The sequence below is a fragment of the Homo sapiens genome, chromosome 12 (assembly GCF_000001405.40).
Source record: "Homo sapiens chromosome 12, GRCh38.p14 Primary Assembly".
NCBI lineage: Eukaryota > Metazoa > Chordata > Mammalia > Primates > Hominidae > Homo > Homo sapiens.
The window spans coordinates 79,022,660-79,048,175 of record NC_000012.12 but is presented as its reverse complement, the minus strand read 5'-3'; the positions used below and the strand labels follow the sequence as shown (position 1 = coordinate 79,048,175).

General features: G+C 34.8%; 1 protein-coding gene and 1 long non-coding RNA gene across 18 annotated transcripts in view, besides 1 other annotated feature; one reads left to right on the top strand and one right to left on the bottom strand.

Moving 5' to 3' along the window:
• Positions 1–25,516, bottom strand: part of SYT1 (synaptotagmin 1) — a 588,027-nt gene that overhangs the window by 403,833 nt on the left and 158,678 nt on the right. For 11 of the 16 annotated variants that reach the window (NM_001135805.2, NM_001415940.1, NM_001415943.1 and 8 more), the window contains one exon: positions 814–879. The exons of 3 other annotated variants lie outside the window; for them this stretch is intronic. The gene's annotated coding sequence lies outside the window, so the exon portion shown is untranslated. Of the gene's footprint in view, positions 1–813; positions 880–2,349; positions 2,485–25,516 lie in introns of those variants that run through there. 2 more of the 16 variants (NM_001135806.2, NM_001415942.1) reach the window with 1 other exon arrangement.
• The window catches only part of LOC105369863 (uncharacterized), a 197,856-nt gene that overhangs the window by 54,704 nt on the left and 117,636 nt on the right, over positions 1–25,516 (top strand). For both annotated transcript variants that reach the window (XR_007063385.1, XR_007063384.1), the window contains one exon: positions 11,603–11,690. This is a non-coding gene — a long non-coding RNA (uncharacterized LOC105369863). The remainder of the gene's footprint in view (positions 1–11,602; positions 11,691–25,516) is intronic.
• Positions 2,782–3,368: an enhancer, noted in NCBI's record as "OCT4-NANOG-H3K27ac-H3K4me1 hESC enhancer chr12:79438588-79439174 (GRCh37/hg19 assembly coordinates)". NCBI's record gives its function as "activates a minimal SCP1, AML or CMV promoter by ChIP-STARR-seq in naive H9 embryonic stem cells {active_cell/tissue: H9 hESC(naive)}" and the evidence as "EXISTENCE:reporter gene assay evidence [ECO:0000049][PMID:30033119]".

Genomic DNA, 25,516 nt, shown 5'->3' with positions numbered 1-25,516 from the left:
ATATTTGTTTGAAACTTTTGAAACATTGAGTTTGAAATGCAATTTCAAATGCAGTTTCAAAAATATTAAATGTGATACAACGTGGGTCATCAACATGGGTTTTGCTTTTCTATCTTTATGTTATTGTTCTTCATATTCACATATTCAAAATTTATAATTGCCTGCATCTTGAAAATTTTATATTGTCACCAATTTTACCATAAAGATTGACATCAACATGTACTTTGCTTAGTGAGAACATATTTAGGAAAACTATATTATCATCAAACAATAGCAAGGAAATACATTTCTAGGAAATACACTTTTAGTTAAGTTGTGAGATTAGAAACAAATGTACTAATGAGAATATGGTGTAGATTTTAAGCCTGCAGATAGCTGCCATTTTTTAATAATCCCAATTTAGTGATTATAAATAAACCAAGCACATCAATAGTATTTAAAATTTTGTTCAAAATAAGTAAAAACTTTTTATCACATATGGAGAAAATGAGGCACTTTGATTACATCTAGCTTATTACTGTTTTCTTCTTTAGAATTTAAGATGATACTATGCTAGTCAAAAGATATGATGGAGTCATCATAAACGTTTTCTGCCCCATAAATGTATCACAACGAGTACTTTGCCCTCTTATGTAAGAGGATTATAGGACAAATGATTTTCAGTTTACTCCAGTAAATTGAAAGAGAAGGCTCAACTTGCTTCCTCTACTAATTTATTATCTTAGAAAATAGAAGTTAGTATTTCTATAAAAGACATTTGTAAGCTCTAATTTTACAGATTTATTATCATCATTGTGTCATTAAAGTACTTACTGTTCTATTAGGAATTCTGGAGTATGTTTTTCTTTGTTTTCTTTCTTTCAGAATTATTCTGTTTTTCTAAAAGGAAAACAATATATACAGAGGTTACTTGACTACACATAGTTCAGAATCATTTTTGTCATAAATATGTTAATTTTATTATTTAATATTTCTACTTAAAATTTTACTATATATTCCAATAAAAATAATGTCATATATATCCATATTTAGTATATATAATACAGATAGTTTGGATTTTAAAGTTGTTTGATGAGCTAGAGATTGAGAGTCTGTGGATAGTTTATATACTGATTTTATGAAAAGTCAATTATGCTTTCTATAGTGTTTTAATTTGAAATTAGAGTAACACTAATCTAGGCAGACATTAGAGAATATTACATTTATTAAGAAATAAATCACATGATTCTTAGTCAATTAAATATCTGGTGCTGTCTCAATTACCAATATGACTATTACAAATCAACCTTGTACAGCCCCATGTTACTTTTAAGTTTTATATTTTTCACCGATGTTAGAAACACCTCAATATGTTATACATATTTGCCTATTTTCAGAAGCTAATCAATATCTAGATATAACCTACTAACTATTCTAGTACATAGGATAAACATACATGTATTTAAATATACATGTTTATATACATATTAATAGATATGTAGGTACATACACACACAAATAAATATGTATATATTACAAGCCCATCAGGAATTAAGAGAAAAATGATTGCACGTCATTGCATAAAAAAGATAAACTTTCAGTTTAAAGAGTAAAAAAATTAAACCCTTCTCAAGAGGCAACATTAAGAATTGCTTTAATGTAATAAAGATATCAGGAATTTCTGATTTGGTTTGACATGTTAACAACTCATAAATGAAAATTTCCATGATGCTACAGACAAGTACCTTTTTATATAAGTTCTCATCATTTTCAGTCTTCAAAAAATTTAGGTATCATGAAAATGAGGAAAGAATGAAATATTTAAAATAGGTCTTATAATAAGTATGTTACTCTGTTTTTAAGAGTTCTCATGGCATCTATTTTCAACAGAATTACAAAAATATTTTAATATCAGCAGCTCTAGCTATTGGGTCACATAGGTAACTCAGCATAAAATATCTAAAGTGACAGCGGTATTTCCAAAACCTCATTTACTGCATCTGCTCAACAGTTAAATCTCCAAGATCTGCTTTTCCTTTATTCCTGCTTGAAACTCAACTGTTTCTTAGTAAAATCCATTTGGAAGAGCAATGTTAAAATGCACCTAGGTTTGCCTGACTGCCTCTAAAAACATGACTTAGAGCCATAATCAATTTTAGATATGCTTTGTATAGTTTTAGTATACGGACACTTCTTTTTTATTAAAACAAAAACTAGAGCAAGATTCTGTGGACATACACATTAAGGTAAACAGTGACACAGAGCTTCTTACAAGAAATATGGGAAAAAAACCTGTTAAATAAGACAAAGACATTCTATTAAAAAATAAGAGAATAGTTGACACTATATACATTGTACATTACTACTTACCAAGGGCCAGGCTTCCCAAAGGGATGCAGTGAAAGAATTAAACAGTGTTTTTGACTTACGAGCCATCTGTGGGGATTTGATTTCATTTTGGTTTTGCATGCATATCTATCACAAGGATGAATGGGCAAACTTGTTCTACTGTAGGGGACAAACAACTATTTTATTCTTGGTGGTAGAATCAGGGAGGAGCCAAGATGGCCGAATAGGAACAGTGCTGTCTACAGCTCCCAGCGTGAGTGACGCAGAAGACAGGTGATTTCTGCATTTCCATCTGAGGTACCGGGTTCATCTCACTAGGGAGTGCCAGACAGTGGGAGCAGGTCAGTGGGTGTGCGCACCGTGCGCGAGCCGAAACAGGGGCGAGGCATTGCCTCACTTGGGAAGCGCAAGGGGTCAGGGAGTTCCCTTTCGGAGTCAAAGAAAGGGGTAACAGACGCACCTGGAAAATCGGGTCACTCCCTCCCGAATACTGCGCTTTTCCGACCGGCTTAAAAAATGGCGCACCACGAGATTATATCCCGCACCTGGCTCGGCGGGTCCTACGCCCACGTAGTCTCGCTGATTGCTAGCACAGCAGTCTGAGATCAAACTGCAAGGCGGCAGCCAGGCTGGGGGAGGGGCGCCCGCCATTGCCCGGGCTTGCTTAGGTAAACAAAGCAGCCGGGAAGCTCGAACTGGGTGGAGCCCACCACAGCTCAAGGAGGCCTGCCTGCCTCTGTAGGCTCCACCTCTGGGGGCAGGGCACAGACAAACAAAAAGACAGCAGTAACCTCTGCAGACTTAAATGTCCCTGTCTGACAGCTTTGAAGAGAGCAGTGGTTCTCCCAGCACGCAGCTGCAGATCTGAGAACGGGCAGACTGCCTCCTCAAGTGTGTCCCTGACCCCCGAGCGGCCTAACTGGGAGGCACCCCCCAGCAGGGGCACACTGACACCTCACACGGCAGCGTACTCCAACAGACCTGCAGCTGAGGGTCCTGTCTGTTAGAAGGAAAACTAACAAACAGAAAGGACATCCACACCAAAAACCCATCTGTACATCACCATCATCAAAGACCAAAAGTAGATAAAACCACAAAGATGGGGAAAAAACAGAACAGAAAAACTGGAAACTCTAAAAAGCAGAGTGCCTCTCCTCCTCCAAAGGAACGCAGTTCCTCACCAGCAACGGAACAAAGCTGGATGGAGAATGACTTTGACGAGCTGAGAGAAGAAGGCTTCAGACGATCAAATTACTCTGAGCTACGGGAGGACATTCAAACCAAAGGCAAAGAAGTTGAAAACTTTGAAAAAAAATTTAGAAGAATGTATAACTAGAATAACCAATACAGAGAAGTGCTTAAAGGAGCTGATGGAGCTGAAAACCAAGGCTCGAGAACTACGTGAAGAATGCAGAAGCCTCAGGAGCCAATGCGATCAACTGGAAGAAAGGGTATCAGCAATAGAAGATGAAATGAATGAAATGAAGCGAGAAGGGAAGTTTAGAGAAAAAAGAATAAAAAGAAATGAGCAAAGCTTCCAAGAAATATGGGACTATGTGAAAAGACCAAGTCTACGTCTGACTGGTGTACCTGAAAGTGATGGGGAGAATGGAACCAAGTTGGAAAACACTCTGCAGGATATTATCCAGGAGAACTTCCCCAATCTAGCAAGGCAGGCCAACATTCAGATTCAGGAAATACAGAGAATGCCACAAAGATACTCCTCGAGAAGAGCAACTCCAAGACACATAATTGTCAGATTCACCAAAGTTGAAATGAAGGAAAAAATGTTAAGGGCAGCCAGAGAGAAAGGTTGGGTTACCCACAAAGGGAAGCCCATCAGACTAACAGCGGATCTCTCGGCAGAAACCCTACAAGCCAGAAGAGAGTGGGGGCCAATATTCAACATTCTTAAAGAAAACAATTTTCGACCCAGAATTTCATATCCAGCCAAACTAAACTTCATAAGCGAAGGAGAAATAAAATACTTTACAGACAAGCAAATGCTGAGAGATTTTGTCACCACCAGGCCCGCCCTAAAAGAGCTCCTGAAGGAAGTGCTAAACATGGAAAGGAACAACTGGCACCAGCCGCTGCAAAATCATGCCAAAATGTAAAGACCATGGAGACTAGGAAGAAACTGCATCGACTAACCAGCAAAAGAACCAGCTAACATCATAATGACAGGATTAAATTCACACATAACAATACTAACTTTAAATGTAAATGGACTAAATGCTCCAATTAAAAGACACAGACTGGCATATTGGATAAAGAGTCAAGACCCATCAGTGTGCTGTATTCAGGAAACCCATCTCACATGCAGAGACACACATAGGCTCAAAATAAAAGGATGGAGGAAGATCTACCAAGCAAATGGAAAACAAAAAAAGGCAGGGGTTGCAATCCTAGTCTCTGATAAAACAGACTTTAAACCAACAAAGATCAAAAGAGACAAAGAAGGCCATTACATAATGGTAAAGGGATCAATTCAACAAGAAGAGCTAACTATCCCAAATATATATGCACCCAATACAGGAGGACCCAGATTCATAAAGCAAGTCCTGAGTGACCCACAAAGAGACTTAGACTCCCACACATTAATAATGGGAGACTTTAACACCCCACTGTCAACATTAGACAGATCAACAAGACAGAAAGTCAACAAGGATACCCAGGAATTGAACTCAGCTCTGCACCAAGCGGACCTAATAGACATCTACAGAACCCTCCACCCCAAATCAACAGAATATACATTTTTTTCAGCACCACACCACACCTATTCCAAAATTGACCACATACTTGGAAGTAAAGCTCTCCTCAGCAAATGTAAAAGAACAGAAATTATAACAAACTATCTCTCAGACCACAGTGCAATCAAACTAGAACTCAGGATTAAGAATCTCATTCAAAACCGCTCAACTACATGGAAACTAAACAACCTGCTCCTGAGTGACTACTGGGTACATAACAAAATGAAGGCAGAAATAAAGATGTTCTTTGAAACCAATGAGAACAAAGACACAACATACCAGAATCTCTGGGACACATTCAAAGCAGTGTGTAGAGGGAAATTTATAGCACTAAATGCCCACAGGAGAAAGCAGGAAAGATCCAAAATTGACACCCTAACATCACAATTAAAAGAACTAGAAAAGCAAGAGCAAACACATTCAAAAGCTAGCAGAAGGCAAGAAATAACTAAAATCAGAGCAGAACTGAAGGAAATAGAGACACAAAAAACCCTTCAAAAAATTAATGAATCCAGGAGCTGGTTTTTTGAAAGGATCAACAAAATTGATAGACCACTAGCAAGACTAATAAAGAAAAAAAGAGAGAAGAATCAAATAGATGCAATAAAAAATGATAAAGGGGATATCACCACCGATCCCACAGAAATACAAACTACCATCAGAGAATACTACAAACACCTCTACGCAAATAAACTAGAAAATCTAGAAGAAATGGATAAATTCCTCGACACATACACTCTCCCAGGACTAAACCAGGAAGAAGTTGAATCTCTGAATAGACCAATAACAGGATCTGAAATTGTGGCAATAATCAATAGCTTACCAACCAAAAAGAGTCCAGGACCAGATGGATTCACAGCCGAATTCTACCAGAGGTATAAGGAGGAGCTGGTACCATTCCTTCTGAAACTATTCCAATCAATAGAAAAAGAGGGAATCCTCCCTAACTCATTTTATGAGGCCAGCATCATTCTGATACCAAAGCTGGGCAGAGACACAACCAAAAAAGAGAATTTTAGACCAATATCCTTGATGAACATTGATGCAAAAATCCTCAATAAAATACTGGCAAAACGAATCCAGCAGCACATCAAAAAGCTTATCCACCATGATCAAGTGGGCTTCATCACTGGGATGCAAGGCTGGTTCAATATATGCAAATCAATAAATGGAATCCAGCATATAAACAGAACCAAAGACAAAAACCACATGATTATCTCAATAGTTGCAGAAAAAGCCTTTGACAAAATTCAACAACCCTTCATGCTAAAAACTCTCAATAAATTAGGTATTGATGGGACGTATTTCAAAATAATAAGAGCTATCTATGACAAACCCACAGCCAATATCATACTGAATGGGCAAAAACTGGAAGCATTCCCTTTGAAAACTGGCACAAGACAGGGATGCCCTGTCTCACCACTCCTATTCAACATAGTGTTGGAAGTTCTGGCCAGGGCAATTAGGCAGGAGAAGGAAATAAAGGGTATTCAATTAGGAAAATAAGAAGTCAAACTGTCCCTGTTTGCAGACGACATGATTGTGTATCAAGAAAACCCCATTGTCTCAGCCCAAAATCTCCTTAAGCTGATAAGCAACTTCAGCAAAGTCTCAGGATACAAAATCAATGTACAAAAATCACAAGCATTCTTATACACCAACAACAGACAAACAGAGAGCCAAATCATGAGTGAAATCCCATTCACAATTGCTTCAAAGAGAATAAAATACCTAGGAATCCAACTTACAGGGGATGTGAAGGACCTCTTCAAGGAGAACTACAAACCACTGCTCAATGAAATAAAAGAGGATACAAACAAATGGAAGAACATTCCATGCTCATGGGTAGGAAGAATGAATATCATGAAAATGGCCATACTGCCCAAGGTAATTTACAGATTCAATGCCATCCCCATCAAGCTACCAATGACTTTCTTCACAGAATTGGAAAAAACTACTTTAAAGTTCATATGGAACCAAAAAAGAGCCCGCATTGCCAAGTCAATCTTAAGCCAAAAGAACAAAGCTGGAGGCATCACACTACCTGACTTCAAACTACACTACAAGGCTACAGTAACCAAAACAGCAGGGTACTGGTACCAAAACAGAGATATAGATCAATGGAACAGAACAGAGCCCTCAGAAATAACGCCGCATATCTACAACTATCTGATCTTTGACAAACCTGAGAAAAACAAGCAATGGGGAAAGGATTCCCTATTTAATAAATGGTGCTGGGAAAACTGGCTAGCCATATGTAGAAAGCTGAAACTGGATCCCTTCCTTACACCTTATACAAAAATTAATTCAAGATGGATTAAAGACTTAAACGTTAGACCTAAAACCATAAAAACCCTAGAAGAAAACTTAGGCATTACCATTCAGTACATAGGCATGGGCAAGGACTTCATGTCCAAAACACCAAAAGCAATGGCAACAAAAGACAAAATTGACAAATGGGATCTAATTAAACTAAAGAGCTTCTGCACAGCAAAAGAAACTACCATCAGAGTGAACAGGCAACCTACAAAATGGGAGAAAATTTTTGCAACCTGCTCATCTGTCAAAGGGCTAATATCCAGAATCTACAATGAACTCAAACAAATTTACAAGAAAAAAACAAACAACCCCATCAAAAAGTGGGTGAAGGACATGAACAGACACTTCTCAAAAGAAGACATTTATGCTGCCAAAAAACACATGAAGAAATGCTCATCATCACTGGCCATCAGAGAAATGCAAATCGAAACCACAATGAGATACCATCTCACACCAGTTAGAATGGCAATCATTAAAAAGTCAGGAAACAACAGGTGCTGGAGAGGATGTGGAGAAATAGGAACACTTTTACACTGTTGGTGGGACTGTAAACTAGTTCAACCATTGTGGAAGTCAGTGTGGCGATTCCTCAGGGATCTGGAACTAGAAATACCATTTGACCCAGCCATCCCATTACTGGGTATATACCCAAAGGACTATAAAGCATGCTGCTATAAAGACACATGCACCCGTATGTTTATTGCGGCATTACTCACAATAGCAAAGACTTGGAACCAACCCAAATGTCCAACAATGATAGACTGGATTAAGAAAATGTGGCACATATACACCATGGAATACTATGCAGCCATAAAAAATGATGAGTTCATGTCCTTTGTAGGGACATGGATGAAATTGGAAATCATCATTCTCAGTAAACTATCACAAGAACAAAAAACCAAACACCGCATATTCTCACTCATAGGTGGGAATTGAACAATGAGATCACATGGACACAGGAAGGGGAATATCACACTCTGGGGACTGTTGTTGGGTGGGGGGAGGGGGAAGGGATAGCATTGGGAGATATACCTAATGCTAGATGACCAGTTAGTGGGTGCAGCGCACCAGCATGGCACATGTATACATATGTAACTAACCTGCACAATGTGCACATGTACCCTAAAACTTAAAGTATAATAAAAAAAATAAAAAAATAAAAATAAATAAAAAATAAAAAAATAAAAAATGTGGTAGAATCAATTAAAAAACTATTTTATTCTTAATCTATGCTCTGAATATGGATGGGCACAGCATTTTTCTGGTAGCTAATTTCTATTTCTTGCATGTATAAATGCCTTGTCTTTATTTTAGAGGAGAAAGTGAACATAGCAAAGGATTATTTTGCACCTTCCATCATCTATCTGATGTTTCAGTAATGTAATTGGTATTAACTGACTCAGATAATTTTCTCTTATCAAGGCTTGATACTTTTATGTTTTTGTACAATACTTTTAAAGAACATTAATCTGTTTAGGTAGGGTTGTGTGTTTTTCACAAAATATTATATACATTCATAGTTGGTAAAGCTGATGACTTTTTAGTGTTTTTTTGTATCTAGTTTTAGAAACAGGCTTGACATTGAGAAAATATATCTGAGATTTAGGGATTATTGTTGCTTCGACAGAGGCTAGAAAGCAAACTGCTCACACCCTGTAGACCTAACCATAGTCTATTTACAGAATTAAGCAAAACACTGCATGCTTTAGGCATCAGAAATATACAAATAATTTTTGCGGCATTTTTGGGGAGGAAGACAACTATTTATATTCATTTTAATGTTGGACATTTAAAAGTGCATAGCTGTATGTTTTTAAAAAGATAACTTACTTTCAAGAATGACAACTCATATTTACATCCAGGTTTTGTTTTAAATATATCAAGCATTTCTTTTGAGGAGAATATTGATTTTATTTGAGGCTTCGGTAGCATAGTGCTGAGCTAAATATTTATTTAGGATTGGCTTTAAAGAGGGCACTGTGAATCCTTGTTCCATGGCTACTTATAAACACTATCCCTTTAACCCATGATGGACTAGAATGGCAGTAGAATCCTAGTCCTAAGGTTTAAATTTCAAAACTGTAAAATATTAATAAACTCAGAGTTTTCTGTCTTGGACCCTCTCCCATTGAAATGCCAAAACTGGTGGTTAGAAAATAGTTACAAGGTTGATGTGCACAGATATCCTCAGCACAGATATCACTAATCCTAAGGGATTTTGTTACATATCTTTTGACTTAAATTCTTATTATTGGAACAGCAGTCAGTAAGCAGGGATTATTTTTAAAAGGACACTGTCCAGATCATTATTGTTAATGTAAGCTTTTCAACACAAAAATAAAGCACTGTATGGCAACTAAATTCACTGCATGATTCTAGATTGGATCCTGGACCAGTGGGAAATAAAACAATTAACTGTTAAGAACATTATTAGGACAGTAGATGAAATTTGAATATAGATTGTGATTTAGATAATGGTATTATATTAATACCATTATATTAAAGATAAATTGCCTGTATTGGACAACTATATATATATATGTATGTGTGTATATATATATGTGTGTATATATATGTGTATATATATGTGTGTGTGTATATATATATATATTCATATATTCACAGAGAGAGAGAAGATAGAGAAAAAATGACATATGACAAAAGGTAAATAATTAGTGAGTCAAGGTAGAGGGCATATGAGAACCTGTACTATCCCTGCAGCTTTTTGTGAGAACTTAAAATTATAGAGCAATAAACATTACCAAAAAAAGACCATACAACTATCCTTTAAAAATATTAAACAAAAATAAAATGCCATTTTCATTATCAATACTGTATTACATGAAACTGTGGCTATTTTATTTTGTTCATTAAGCACAACATTATCTGATTGTGTCTACAGCTATAGAAGATAATAATGTTTACCTGGATAACTACTAAAGAGTATTAGGTAGTGAAAGAAAAAGAATTCATCAAGTAATAGAGTAAACAAAGAAATGTTCTATGGTTACAGGTAACCACTAGAAGTACCTGTGGGGTTGCTGGTAGGAACAGTATGGAAGGTAATGGTTCAGAATATGGACTTTCTTGGAAATGAAGGTAGAAGGCCAAAAGATTGTACCTCATATTTAGGGCAGAAGAATTTTCCTATTTTTTCTCTTTTGTTGTCTAACCATTGACAACCATGTAAGAGGCATAAGTCTACAAGCCCGCTCTCATTATGACAGAACAAATGTTTAGTAACAAAGATTTTAAAAAGGGAAAGGGGGCAGGGATGAAAGAACTACTCATTTTTTCTGTTTTGACACTTTATTATACAAGTCAACAAATACGAAAACATCTGTTGGCAGCCAGAGTTACAATAATCACATACTGGGTTCAATCATGTTTAACATTTCATTATACTCAAAATAATTATTTTAGAAAGGGGGGATGACAATGAGGCAGGATGGCACTAAGTCAGGAGAGCTAGTATGTACCTTGAAAAAAAAAGGATGGGAATTAATTAAATGAGAAGCTTGGGGAAGTTAATTGGGACTGAGTGACGATAAGGGCACTATCAAAGCATGAAGAAACAAAACTATTTACCAAAATCTATAACGGAAAGTCACATTGAGCACATCTAACTGAAATCTGCAGAGATGTGAATATCAGGAGCAGAATTGTACCTGGGGGGGCTTTGGTTGGTCTCCAGCCCCTAGAATAGTACCTGTCACATAAATAAATGTTCAATTAATAAGGTTACATAATGACAAAAGTAAAATTCTGTATCTTATAATCCTATTTCTGATGCCTCTATTTAGTCCATAACCTTAGGCAAATCACTTCATCTATTCTGACCTTGATTTCATTAGCTGTGAAATGAGAGAGTGGGAGAAGTTGATTCTCCAAGGTGACTTCCAGCTTTAAATATTTCTGCATACAGGTCCGTTTATTAAAATGGGCCATTGTGAACACTCTCGTGAAAGAGAATAGCCTGATATGAATTATATAAAGAGAAATGAGAAAAATAGAAAAGATGAATAAAGGATCAATGCACTGATTCAAATAATGAAAAGTAAGTACCACTGAAAGGGGCTTTAATATAAAGGAGAGAATGCCAAAGGTAATTTATGGTTTTTGTATGCATGAACTGACATTCACATGTACTATTGATATAGGTATGCAGATGTAGAAATCTTTATCTTTTCTTTTTATTACAGTCAGAGTGACTCTACACACTTCCTGCTTCCACGTTTAGCATCCCCAAGTGAAGAGATATGAAGAGTGTTCAAAAGATGCTACAAAATGGTAGGAGTTTATGTAAACATTCTTTTACTACAGGGTCATATAATTGAGACTACTCATTGTAGAGGAAAAGGAGCTGAATAAATTCTTAGCATCTATATTTAATTCCATGAAGAGCTAATTCAATACCCATCTGGCAATTACTGACACCTCCATGAAGCTTTCCATACCAACAATGGCTTCCTTAGGTATTTTTTTTCCTACAAGCTTGTCAGGTACTTACATTCTGTAACACAAAATTCAACACTTACTTACACATGATCTCTCTATTTTCCCAGTTTCATCAATGCTCATTTAGTCTTGACAACTAGAGGAGGCCATGCACTATATATTTGTGCTTCCCTGTAATAAGCTGGTACTTAAAATGAGTAGTTGTTAGATAAACTCTCATCAATGAATGGAGATGAGCAGAAAATACTCTGAGCTTAAAAACTGGACAGGAATGTTGATTGGCAGCTGCCAAAGATGACTTCTCAGCCATGAAGGCTGGATGGTTCCTGGGACTTCTGTGATGCCTCTACCTTGTTTTTTTTTTTTTTGTTTGTTTGTTTGTTTTGTTTTCTCATTGTCATATTCTCCTAGGTGTTCTTGGAAAGAGAGGCCAGGGCACTTATCACATGAGGTTCAAAGATGTACAGTTCTTTAATGAGAAAGGTCTATTTAAAAAGCATTACAAGCAACTGAAGCTACAGCTTCAAGTTTCCTTGCCAGTTGAGTCTGCAGGGGTGAGCAGGGGTCATTTTCTCAGCTATATCAAAACAGAGCAGAATGTCTCTTATGATTCTATGTACAAATCAAGACCACCATGGCAATATTCCTATAAGGAAGCTGGCATGGCAGTGATGGCAGAATGGGTGGCTTTGTGGGCAGGAAGTGGTGGGTAAACAAAGGGGACTACAGAAGAGGAGGAAGGCATGAGGGAAAGAGAATGCAAAGGAATTATTTCATTTCCAGAAGGTATTGATATCTACACAGATTCTGATGCTGCAACAGTTAGAGTCTGGAGAATGTTGAGATAAAACAGATACATAATTGTTGGCTTCATAAAAAGGAGAAGCCAACCAAAAATCTTTACAAAGTGCTCTAAGGTAACTGCCTAAACTCTGCACATTTCCTATAAGGATGGAGGATGTTGGTGAAATGACAAACAATGAACATAAATGGATTCAGCTTTCCCAACTTTTGGGGAAGTGAGGTAGAGAGAATGGGGTAGCAATTCTCTATACACGCCTAAGACTGAAGAAGAGAAAATTATGTATTTAAACCTTGGTTTGCTCCATATTCAAACCCAGCAGTGTGTCATTGAACAAGTAAGTGGTATGTTGGGGTTCGGCGTGAGATTTTTATAGTTCTGAGCTGACTAGCGGCTCATCTTTAGGTGCTTTGCTATATTCTGAGTTTAGTTCAGTACCATACCCTGTGATGACAATGGTGGGAAGGTGCCAAGCTGGAAATGCAAGACCAGTAAGGACAAAAATTACAGCCTAGAGGAAGTGGTCTTTGGTTTCCACTGTTGGGCATCCATGTGGAGAACAACTGTAGAAATAAAATAGGAAATAATCAACTTCTCATGCTAAATTACTCTAAAGACACCATTATTTTTTATCCCTGTCTTTAAGACACCAACTTACAGGTATATCAAAAGGGCATATATCAATTAAAAATAGAATAAAACTTTTTAAAAAGGTGTCAGATTATAAAAAATAATACAGCTTTGTTCACAGGTATCCTGGACCTTTATATTCACATGAAAATTGCCCTCTTCAGAGATTCACTGGAGGAGGCTATATGCCTATTTATGGAGAAGCAGCATAGTTTAAAAAAATTACAGCTGCTATTTAATAAGCTGCATTCAGCAGATTGCATATGTTTATCACATTCAGCTTCACAAGGAAATTGTTCAGTAGGCGTTAATTATCTCTATTTACATATGAGCAAACTCAGTTCATAACTTCTTTGGAGTTAATAAGTATCAGAGCTGGGATCTAAATTCAATTCTGTTTGTATCCAAATCCTGTTTTTCTCTTGCAAAAAAGTCTCTGTAATTTTGGAATGGACTTTGAGAGGGTAGTAAATCAATTTTTTAGACATTCCTTACTACTTATTAGATATATTACCTTCATATTAATGTAAGTTTTCTTCATCTTAATTTCTTCATCAGTAAAATGGGGAGAAAGCAGTATTTACCCAAAGGAAAGAGAACAGATTTACTAATTTATTGAGGTATCTTAGATTTCTGAAAATCATTTATCTAATCTTAGAGGAACAAAAGCCTTAAAACAAAAGGGCTTTCCAAAGAATTTTCAAGATAAAACATCTTTAAATTGATCAGTTTTCCTGGGGCTTTTGCCTGAACAGCATGATTCTTATATTTAAAAAATTCAAAATCAACAGGACAGCTTCCTCTACACATGATGATTTAATATTGTGGGCTTGCCTTCAGGATAAATTTATGAGAAGTTCAAAACATTTGTCATACTACTTTTAACTCCAGAACATCTATTTCTACATAGTTCACATAGAATTACATTAGGCATAAAACAAAACCACATGTCTATGGAGGTCTAGAGATATGTTTTGTCTTAATTATAGTCTATAAAATATGAGTGAAAATCTAAGTGAAGAGGTAAGTACTAGAGAGATGGGTAAGATATGTTATATGGAGACTTGAAATCACAAAAGACCATGTTAACCCAAATAGCCACACTCCTTTTAAATGGACAGCATTTCTTTAATTCTAAAAGCCCTAGAAGTAAAATTTTTAAAAATTTACTTTGGTTAAAACACATTTTAAAAGCTAGTTCTTAGATTTAGATGTTCGGAAGTTGGAGTACTTATGAAGCCATGATTTCAGAATACTAGACTCTAGATCCCCCTTCAATGGATGAAACATACTGATAAACAGAAAAGACCAAAGGTAGGAGACGATGCAAGAAAGAAGCTCACCATAAGTTAAGAACCAACCACCTAATTCTGATCAAATTATTCTTTAATGTTAAAATGAGCATAAATGCAATCCTATGAAATTCTAAATCAATGATTTATTCAGAGGAGAATTCAAAGATGTTTTTAAAGTAATGTAATTATATTTGAGAGAAATAGACAGCATTCAACAAATTACATGAGGAACGTATAGTTAAGTCATACTAAAGTTTTCACTAGAGGAAGCAATTGGGTGCACTATGGTTAGAGATTTGGGGAAGAGTTCAATCTAATTACACCTACAATTTTGACACTATTTGACTTGGTTGGAAGGAGACTCTCATTTCACCCATGAAATGATACAATGAATAGAATAACAGCAGATCAAGTGAAGCAATAACATGGATGAGCTGTTTTCTCAGCTTCCAATCTTTGATCTTTTAGGTGTCTAATGTGAATGGCAACTAATTTTTACTGACAAAAGAACATATTCAAGAGAAATATCAGATTAATTCCTTAGAACAGGCAAATTTCCTGGGAGGTACAACTCGAGGCAGATTATAAGGATCTGAGTTTTTGGTCTTCTGATATAAAACTCAACTAAAGAGACTGAAGTTCAATTTGAAATTCAAATTCTTTTGGAGTTATATACTATAGCAAGTGATTTCAAGTGATTTTTTTGCTTTGTTTTTCAATGTCATCATTGTGGTATTTGCCATAGAATCCCTTAGCGTTGTGATTTTCTCTCTTGTTATGGTTTAAGTTTGTAACACTTTTGAAAAGAAACTGTCTTTCTTACAATTACTTTGTATCCTTGAAATAGGGAATAATCAGAAAATAATCATAAAATAATTCACTTTAACAGACTTTACTGGAATCTTGTAACACCATCTATCACATGTGGATTTTTAATTTTACTAACAATTGTAACATGACCTAAAATGTCAACATAATGAAATCGTTTAAATGCTAACTGTATTAAGACTAGCAAACTTGGTTGGCAGAGGTTGATGGGAAGCTCAGCCCTTCTAGCTGAATACAAATCACAGTATTTTTGTGAGTTGTATTCTTATGTCAATACACTGGAGGTAGCCCCAAGTGAAGCCAAAGTTCCATTTCTATAAAACAGGCAAACATCAACAAATTGTTTAATTCCAGGAGTTGTGTGGTGTAAAAAAGAGTACAAGATAAGGTCCCTGCCTATAAAATTCATGTCTCTATCATATATCACTTAGTGCATTACACTGTTTGTTTTTGTTATTGTTGTTTAGGGCAATAGAAGCTCCCCAAGAAATGCTATCTAACTAATCTTCAGTTCACAGTACCTAGCACATTGCCTGGTATATACATATAAGGTTCTAAATAAATATTTGTTAAACTAAAAGCTCAAAGGACACAATCAGTCCCCTTTCCCAACACAGCATCCTCTCACTCAGAATTTACCTTGCCAATCTGGTGGTACAGTTGAATCATGGAGCTACAATTACACTTAGGCTTAATACTAGCTATGCTCCTGACTTTTATGTAAACGTGAAAAAAGTTACTTGATTTCTACAGGATATTTAGTTATTATGTAGGACATAAAATAATTTTCAATTATCTCCCATGATATTTATTTATTTAGATTAATAACATATATATATTTTCACAAAGGCTTACATGCCAGCTTGCATCATTAAACATGATTTGTGACCATTAATAGAAAGAAAAAACGGGTACAGGAGATACTTTGCCATATGTGGGCATATATTCTAGACATTTCCCATGATTAGGATTTCCAAAAGTAGAATATTATTATATCTTATTCTATGTCTCATTTTTCCTCTTTCCCAGTCTGATAATTACTACACCTCAAACCTTACTAACCTCCTGCCCATTAACTATGCATGCCTTTGCTTTTCTTTTAAGTTCTATAAGGAAGAGCCAGGATTAATTCTGTGATGTGTTTAATATGAAAGTTACATAATAGGGTTCTAACAAGAATTAGCATCTTAACAGGAAGTAAGAGCGGATGGATTTGGTGATTTAGGGATATTCAAGCCATAAATATAAAATTCCCCTGCATTTTCTGACAAGCTATAACAGATTATCCACAAACCTGAGAGGTCGTTTCTGTGTTGTACATTGTTCATGTTTCTTTATTGTGAAGAAGCCAAAGCTAAGAAAATAACTTAACATGGAAGCCCTGATGAATACATTAGGCACAATCTACTACAACCTCAAATTTTATAATATTACTTAAAAGGGAATATCAGAAGTATTTGCAGAAGGCATAAAATAAAATTTACGTTTATTTAATATACTAAGGAAAATGTTCTTATTTATTTTCTAGAATAGAGTTTTAACATGAGAGAAGTCAAATAATTGTGATATTAATAGTTAATATCAGTATAATCAATACTATTTTGATGATTATTTCAACTAGTAGAGATTTTATTGAGCAGCTAATTTTAATAGATGTTATTTATGTAAATCATTTTTTAAAATTATGTGTTTATTCTCTATTTAAACTTACGCATTTCATTCTTTCTGGAATATATATAAATGAGCAGCAGCTCCAAAAGTTTAGATAGTGGTTGTTGGGAGTGAGTACGCATTGGAGGTAAGGATTGGAGAATACTATAACTCTACTGGAGACATAACATATCTCTGAGGAGAACTCAACCCATCTCATCTAAATGTCATCATTATTTAAAGACAATGTAGGTATACTTCTAAGACAAAGTAGAGCTGATGGCATCACCTTACTCCTTCACTTAATTTAAACATAAAAGTGTATAAAGAACTATTGTTTTTATTTTGGGATGGCCTCACCAAAGTAATTGGTGCCATTCACTCATAATGTATATTGGTTCATTATATTTTGCTGATAGACTATTTTGGGCAAAGCATTTTCCCAAATGCTGTTTAAAATAGAAAAGCAAGAAATCTCAAGAAATTTCTGCTTTCAAGAATTTTTAATCCAGAAGATGGAGTGGGAAAAGGAGAGTTCAACCCATTTAAAACTCTACCCAAGGCAGACTATAATGAGTTTTTTATGCATACAAATTAGAGCTCAATGGAATAGTAAAAGCCCTAATGGCATTTGGTCCTTGAAGGGTGACCATTCTTTCTATGCGTTTTGATAGAGAAAAGTGTTTCAGTTATGAAGGAGAAAAGTTATGGAGGGAGAAAAGCACTGGGAATGTTTGGATTCTAGAGAGTAGGTTAGTGTGGCAGGAGAATAAGGTAAGTATGGGAAGGAGAGAGAAAGAAGACTGAAAAAGTTGATTGGACCATATTGTAGACATCCTTAGAATAAGGTCACAAAGGGCAACAAAGAGCAAATTCAGGTTTCTCATGAGAACAGTGATAAACTCAGAAAATTAATATAGCACAAGAATTTGGTAGCATTTATTTGATCAGGTAATGTTTCATTTAATGTGTCACAGTACTTGAATAAAATAAAATATTGTAAGGCAAAATTTAGAAAGTGAATTATGAAGTATGTAGAATTTTTGCTTCTTTCATAGAAGTGTATTTAATACTGAAATTCATCACATGTTGAAGAGAAAACATGATTGACTTAAAATCACAAAATTTCATGTAGTTTATATGGTACTGATGATCTGTGTTCAAGGAGAAAAAGGAAAACTGTGAATGGTGAAGCAAGTCTGACATAAAAACTAAGCACAGTGACATGTAATTGTATTAGAATTTATATAATACATGTGGCTAGCAACATACAAATCAGCTAACTTTTCTTTCTACATTTGAGTAAAGAAGAAAATCATTATCTTTATAATACAGTTGATTATAAAATAATCTCTAATTGTAAAATGTTACTGTGAGAATTCTTAGAATAACATTTATTACAGCTATTATTAATTACTTAACTTATACCATGTAACCTCCTATGGCCACACTTAGCATATCTACATAAATAAAATTTCATTCAGGATTCCTTAGCTAGAGAATAACATTACATGCATGAAAAATATTTTAATTTCACTAATTTCACAAGTGATGCTAAATTAATCACCAAATCAGAAGTTGCAAATATTTCTGAATCCTTGTGGTTGGAAGAGGGCAGAATGTATGTTTGGCTTCACGTTTTATTTTATTTACCCTTTCTGTTGCTTGGTTTTGAGAAACATTGAAAAAATATATTTGCTCCAGCACTACAACTTTCCAGAACAGCTTTAATTACCTATTTTTTTTTTTTTTTTACTGATTTGTACAATATGGCACACTAGCACAGTGTGTGAATTAAAAAAGAAAAGAAACAAAAACAATTTGTACTGTTGATGCTGATATATGGAGTAATTTTCTCAGGCTCTTTTCAGTGCAATCTGCAAATGCATTAACAAAGGCTATAAAACAAAAACAAATCTGCACTACCGATAGTATGCAAGGGTGAGGTATTGAATAGTTTGAAGGCATAACTGATACCTGCATTAGTAGAAATTACCCAGGAACAAGAAAGTATCCTACTACCATGTAGGACTTCAAAAACAAAAATATATCTTGTACATATTTCTGCATAAGAGACTAATGTCCCAACCACAAGATATAGAAAAATGAAATATTTTTGTGACTATTGTTAACATAAAAGACTCTTTTGAAATAATGCTCTTAGAATATTTATTACTGTTATTATTCCACCTTGAATGGCAGGAACCTCTACATACGTTTTCTATGTCTTGTCCCATTTCAACTATTCTATTGCTCTTGAGACAAGGTCATGGGTAAAGTGAAGTTTTTACTTATGGAACGGCATAAAATTGTCACTCAATTATACAACTATAATACTTATACATTTCATTGTTTATTGAATATAATTCATTCCTTCCCAATACCACATCCAGAAAAACAGGCACATTTTAGACCAAAGTAAGACTATATTAACTATTTACCAATTATACCTAAATGGCTAATACTGTGTTATAATTATTTTTATTTTGGGGGAAAAGGGATCATTTACATAGCCTCAAATTTTTGTTTATCCAACAAAGATGTATTGAGTGCCTATATAGTGCTAAGTGCCCTGGATATGAGGCCCACAGTGCGCACAGGGACTTTACTCTCCTAGTGTTTACAGTCTCTGTAACGAATATACAGGCTCTAATTTTCTCTACAGAAAAAACTTTGAATAGCACTTAGCTCTATCAATATTCCTTTATTTCTGTGTTTTGAATTTTGAACTTCTATAGTATTAGATTAGTCAGCAACATGCATTATTCTGCAGCATTTACACTTAAAATTTTAGAAGAACAGTAACATAAGAGAAGATTATGCTTAAAAACAGATTTGTATTGAAGTGAAGAAATATCTGATAAGGTCTGACAGGGTTAGTAGAACACAAAAAATAACTCGACAGACAGAAAATTTGAAGAGGCTTTCAGTACACAGTATGTGATTTTTCTGGTTTTTGAACACATTCACCATAGAAATACCTTTGAGATGACAAAATTAACCACGTGTTTTTACAATATTACTTGAACAAGCAATTGATAATCTCATCTTATGGATTTGGTCATATTCAATATCCTCTTTTTCCCCTTTAATCTGATCAAATGTGGAGATCTTTATCAGTCCATAATATGACTGCATAAAGAGACAGACAAGTTCAAATGCACACAAGGTGGGAATGTATAAGGAGAAATGTCCATCCACAGAAAGGCTATCAGACCATGAAAATTTGGCCGGTGGTTGATGTGAAGTCTATGGCTATACTGGTCTCTATCTGTTTAAAGCAAACTCAAGATAATTGATGTGGTGCTATGCTTTTATATTGCTGCAGATAGAATGTATCTTAATAAAGCTTCTTATTTATGGTTTTAAATAAATTATTTCTATTGTTCCACATTAAAATATCCATAGAATATTATGTTTTAGTTTGACTTCTTCTTTGGGAAAAAAATGAATTTTTTTAAGATCACAAATTGGCTTCGAGTATGTATGGTTGTCACATGCCTAAAAGCTTTCGAGTTTCAACCTGCCCAATGCATTTATTCCACAGAGGGCTTGACAAGTTTATATATATCTACATAATATCTATGTATTATTTGTTATACTTATATATAATAAAAAGCATACTTATATATTTATATGCCTTATATATGCATTGACATTTTATTTTTTGACACCTCCTTAATATGATAGACAGTGTTTCTAGTGTTAAATATGATGAAGTCCTCACTCTCATGGACTCATTGAGAAAGTGAATCAATATAACTCTTGGTAGTAATAATGGCTATGAAGAAAAATATAGGCAGGTAAAGCTTAATGGAAGTAAGCAGGAGACAGGGAGGAGAGCCTATTTAAAGTAGGCGGTCAGCAAAGGGGTCTCTGGAAAGATATTTCAGCAGAAACCAGAGTAAAGTGAGAAAGACATTCAGCTGAGGATCCAGGTAAGAAACTTCCTGGAGAGAAGGTGGAGAGAGCTGAAGGCTCAGTGGCCTGAGGCAGCAGATAGTTCTCTGTGTTCAAGAAATAGCAAGAACCTCAGTCCTCTTAATAAAGCAGAGTACATCCACAAGTGGGCTATACTGGATTGTGTGGTAGTTCTATTTTCAATTTTTTGAGGAACCTCCACACTGTTTTCTATAACGGCTGTAGCATTTGTTTTTCTATCAACAATGTACAGGATTCCCTTTTCTCCATTCCCTTTCCAACACTTGTTATCGCTTATCTTTTTTTGTAGTAGCCATCCTAATAGGTGTGAGGTGAAATCTCATTGTGGTCTTGATAAATCCAAAGGAAAAGAAATTAGTATCTCAAAGAGATATCTCCACTTCATATTTCTTGCAGCATTATTCACAATAGCTAAGAAATGGAAACAACCTAAGTGTCCATTGATAGTGAATGGACAATGAAAGTGTGATATATATATATATATATATATATATATATATATAAAATATATATGTATATACACACACAATATTATACATATATGTGTATAAAAGGAACAAGTCAGTATCCAGTTCTGTGGAATTTCAATTAGCTTTAAATATATTCTAATAGCTAAAAACCAATAAATAAATAAACCACGTGATTCCAATAACATAAAAGCATAGTGTTTTATTTGTTATAACTTTTCGCTTTTCTTAACTGCAAAATTGCATTTTCTTATCAAGAAAGAACATGTTAAATGGATAAGAATGGGCATTTTTTCCAATGTTCAATATATAAATGCATTACACATTCAGAGAATGCAACTAACTCTTTGGATCTTTACTTCCTCATTTCTATAACTAGGACATGCACTCCTCCTTCATCAAGAAGCAATAATAACTGTGTACTGTACTTGGAACATGTTTATGGAACAGATATAATTTCTATGCCCAACAAGTTAATAAAGTTCTTCTTCCTTTAAAATGTTTGAACAGAAGCATAAACTGCTGTAAGCAATCTGTTAACTTAGAATTATAAAAGGAAGTGATTTAAAACACTTGAATAGTAATATTTCCTTTAAAAATTATATAAAATTCAAATAAATGATGCATAAAATTAACAAATCAGGCTTTAAACACAATGCTTTATCATAATATTATGCCAAAGGCATTTGCATTTCAAGGATCTTTTTAAATATCTATTTTCAGTATCTTATATCTAGCACTGAGGGAAAGATTCACTTTAAAGTAGTTTCATATTCATATATAAACATAATCTACTTCTATTTAGCAAAATCAAAACACATTTCCCAACGAGGTTGTCAATATTACCAACCTTCTGAAAAGGTCACTTATACAGTTACAATGTCTGGTATTTTTTAAAAAAGCTCTAGAGTCAAACAGGCTTTATAACTTGCTACCACTTAATAGCTATTATGCACGCACACATAAACATATATATGAATGCATACATTACAAGTACTGAAGAACAAAATACAGAGCCTATATACATATGTATAGAAGAAATATATATGTATATATAAAACACATATACATACATATATCATATATATGCATATGTGTTATATGTGTGTGTATGCCTAAGATATCAATCATGTTTTTATTCTACAACGTATAATAGCCAGAAATCTGACACAGTGTACTTCGAGTTCTTTTCACTAGATTTGTGTGTCTAGAAATAATATCCCCAAAGCAAGCTACTAAACTTAGTTTCTCATGGTTTAAAAAAGGCTACTAGAAACAACAAGGTTCAATATAATTTAAGCATCATTTCCAGGCTTCCCAGTGCTTCTATAAAGCTCAACAAGCAAATGTCATTATAGCTTTGGCTTTGAGTTTAAGAGTTTTAAAGTCAGCTTAGGGGAAATGGAATCATGTTGATGTGGAGTCATGATTCACATTGAAGTAAAACTAATGATGGTTCAGATAATTTTTTTCTTGCCTCCAGAGGAAAATTACTCTGAATTCAGGCTTGAGTGTTTAATACATGTATCACGTCAAAATACTTGTAGACAAATCATAACTTCCTAAATATTAAAAACACACATGGAACTTTGGATATAAAATCAACACTTGGTATTCACAATAATTAGTTCATTAATGTATACATCTGTAAGCTTTTGCTCATGAATGTATAAATTCTATTTGCCTAAAGAAGCATCTTATAAGCACATTTTAAATAAGTGTGTTCTGCTTTGCTTTAGACTATCAAAGGTCACAATAAATGCAGCATAAAGTACCTGCTATCCTGAAAATATTTAAAAATAACAAAATATGTAGCCAACAAACAGGACTTTAAGAAGACAGTAGATCATTCTGAGGAACAAAGCTAGATCAAAATTTTATTTAGCGTTATTCTCCAATCCAAATCTTTCCTTAATCACAAAAATAAAAAATATAGTATGTCAGATATACCAAAACATCATTTCAGCATCCCCCTACAGAAATGATATTGCTAAGTTCAACAAGGACAACAGAATGTACCCTAGAAAGTACTTTCCAGGGGAGAGCAGGGGTCTTGCCCATTTTAGTCAAATACTGTTTTCCTAGCAATTAGAAACTCTGGTACATCATTCTTATCTGTAAGTGTTTGTTGAATGAATGAGTGTTGAACAAACTGCTCAGGTATCTTTACAAGGTAGACATTCAGTTAATATTTGATTATTAAATGAATAAATGAGTTTATAGCCCTAGAATGTTAAAGATACATTACACATTATATTAACATACTGTCAAGCAAAATTCTGGATTTGGATAAGAGTACAGCAGCTAACATAAATGTGCTTTACTTTTTGAAGCAGCACAACCCTGGGTTCTGCCACCAATTCTGACATTAGTCAATAGGCACAAACAGAAGCTTGGGATAGGTGCTCTCCAACCCATCCTCGAATTTGCCTTGCTGCTTGCTGGCCACACGCCTCTCTCAATCCCATTACCCAGCAAATACGTCTTTGAATTGTCCTTCAGTAAATGATTCTATTCTATTTCCAGCCCCAATTTCCTAGAATCATTGCTAGACACTCAAGACTGAGTTAGAACCCCATGCATTTCCATCTGTTTGCCCTTCACACTTCCTCCTTCAACCTTTGGGAAAACAGCAGTTCTCTCCCTCCGTGAGGTTAGGATGCTCTTCCAGGCAGTGTTGCGAAGAATTTAAAACAACTCCAGCTATGTGTTAGGTAATCCTATTGCATCAATGTGAAATTTCCTGATGTTGACCACTGTACTGTGGTTATATAAGAAAATGTGCTTATTCTTAGGAAGTACATACTTAAGTGTTTAGGAGTAAAGAGGTATGATGTCTCTAACCTATAGGTGAATAGTTCAGAAAACAAAAGTGGATGTGTGATGAATGTGCATGGAGAGAGAGAGAAAGAGAGAGAGAGAGATGGAATAATAAAGCAAATGAGATAACAGAAACAATTGATGAAGCTTGGTAAAGAGTATATGGGGATTTTTGTGCTTGTCTTGTAACGTCTGTAGGCATGAAATAATGCAATATAATTATGTAATAATAATGAATGTATTATTGTCAGTTATATATAATAAAAAATAAAAAGTTACTAAAAACAACGACTACAGGCTGGTTTCTCAATATCTGGTCCCAGAGGAAACATCATTCTTGGCTCTCAGTCTCTGTAAGCACAGATTGCTCTCAATGAAGCTCCCAATGCATGCTCCTCCATTTGAGGGCTGAGTCAGTCACAATATCCCCACCTTTGACTTTTCCTGCTGTGGGTCAGACATCCTCTGTGGAGCCCCAGAAATGTCATGTGTTACAGATGAGGATCTCCAGATGGTCTCTCTAAAGCCCCACCCCTCAGGTTTTGTGGGAGACAGAAGCTTTCTTCTTCCCTCCTCTATGAAGATTCAGAGCACAATGACAGCCATAATCAAATAAATTATTTAATTTCCAAAAACCTGGCTTTTCCTACTTCAACTCTTTTATATTCAGGTAGAAGCAGCATTGTCAAACCAATTTTTAAAGTTGTCTTTGAAAGCCCTGTGGAGACTCTAGCCCCTCACATTGGAACGTGCAAGTTTTATCACCCATCTTTTCCTTTTTGGCTTTTTAGACCTTTGCTCAAACTAAGTCAAAAGAGTCTGATTTAAATACCTGGTTACAGTGACAATTCATAACTCATGACCTCCAAGCAAAGAACAATAATTACTGATTTATTTCTAGGATAAGTTAAATAAAAAACCGGCATGGAAGCAAGATTTTATCTAAAGGTTATTTCTAGCACTAAAACTAAGGTACACAGAGATTTGCTTGTCTTTCGAAAGCTAGATCCTGGGTTGTTTTGCTGTATATTGTAGCTTCCAATTTTACTCAGTAAAGAAGCTTAATTTAGCACAGTTCTCAAAATGTTTTTTGTATCAGAACTCCTTTATACTCTTAAAAATTAAGGATGCATGAGAGGTTTTATGTGTGTGAGCTGCATCTACAGACATATAACCTACTAGATATTAAAAGTAAAAAATAAAAATATAATTAATTTATTTTAA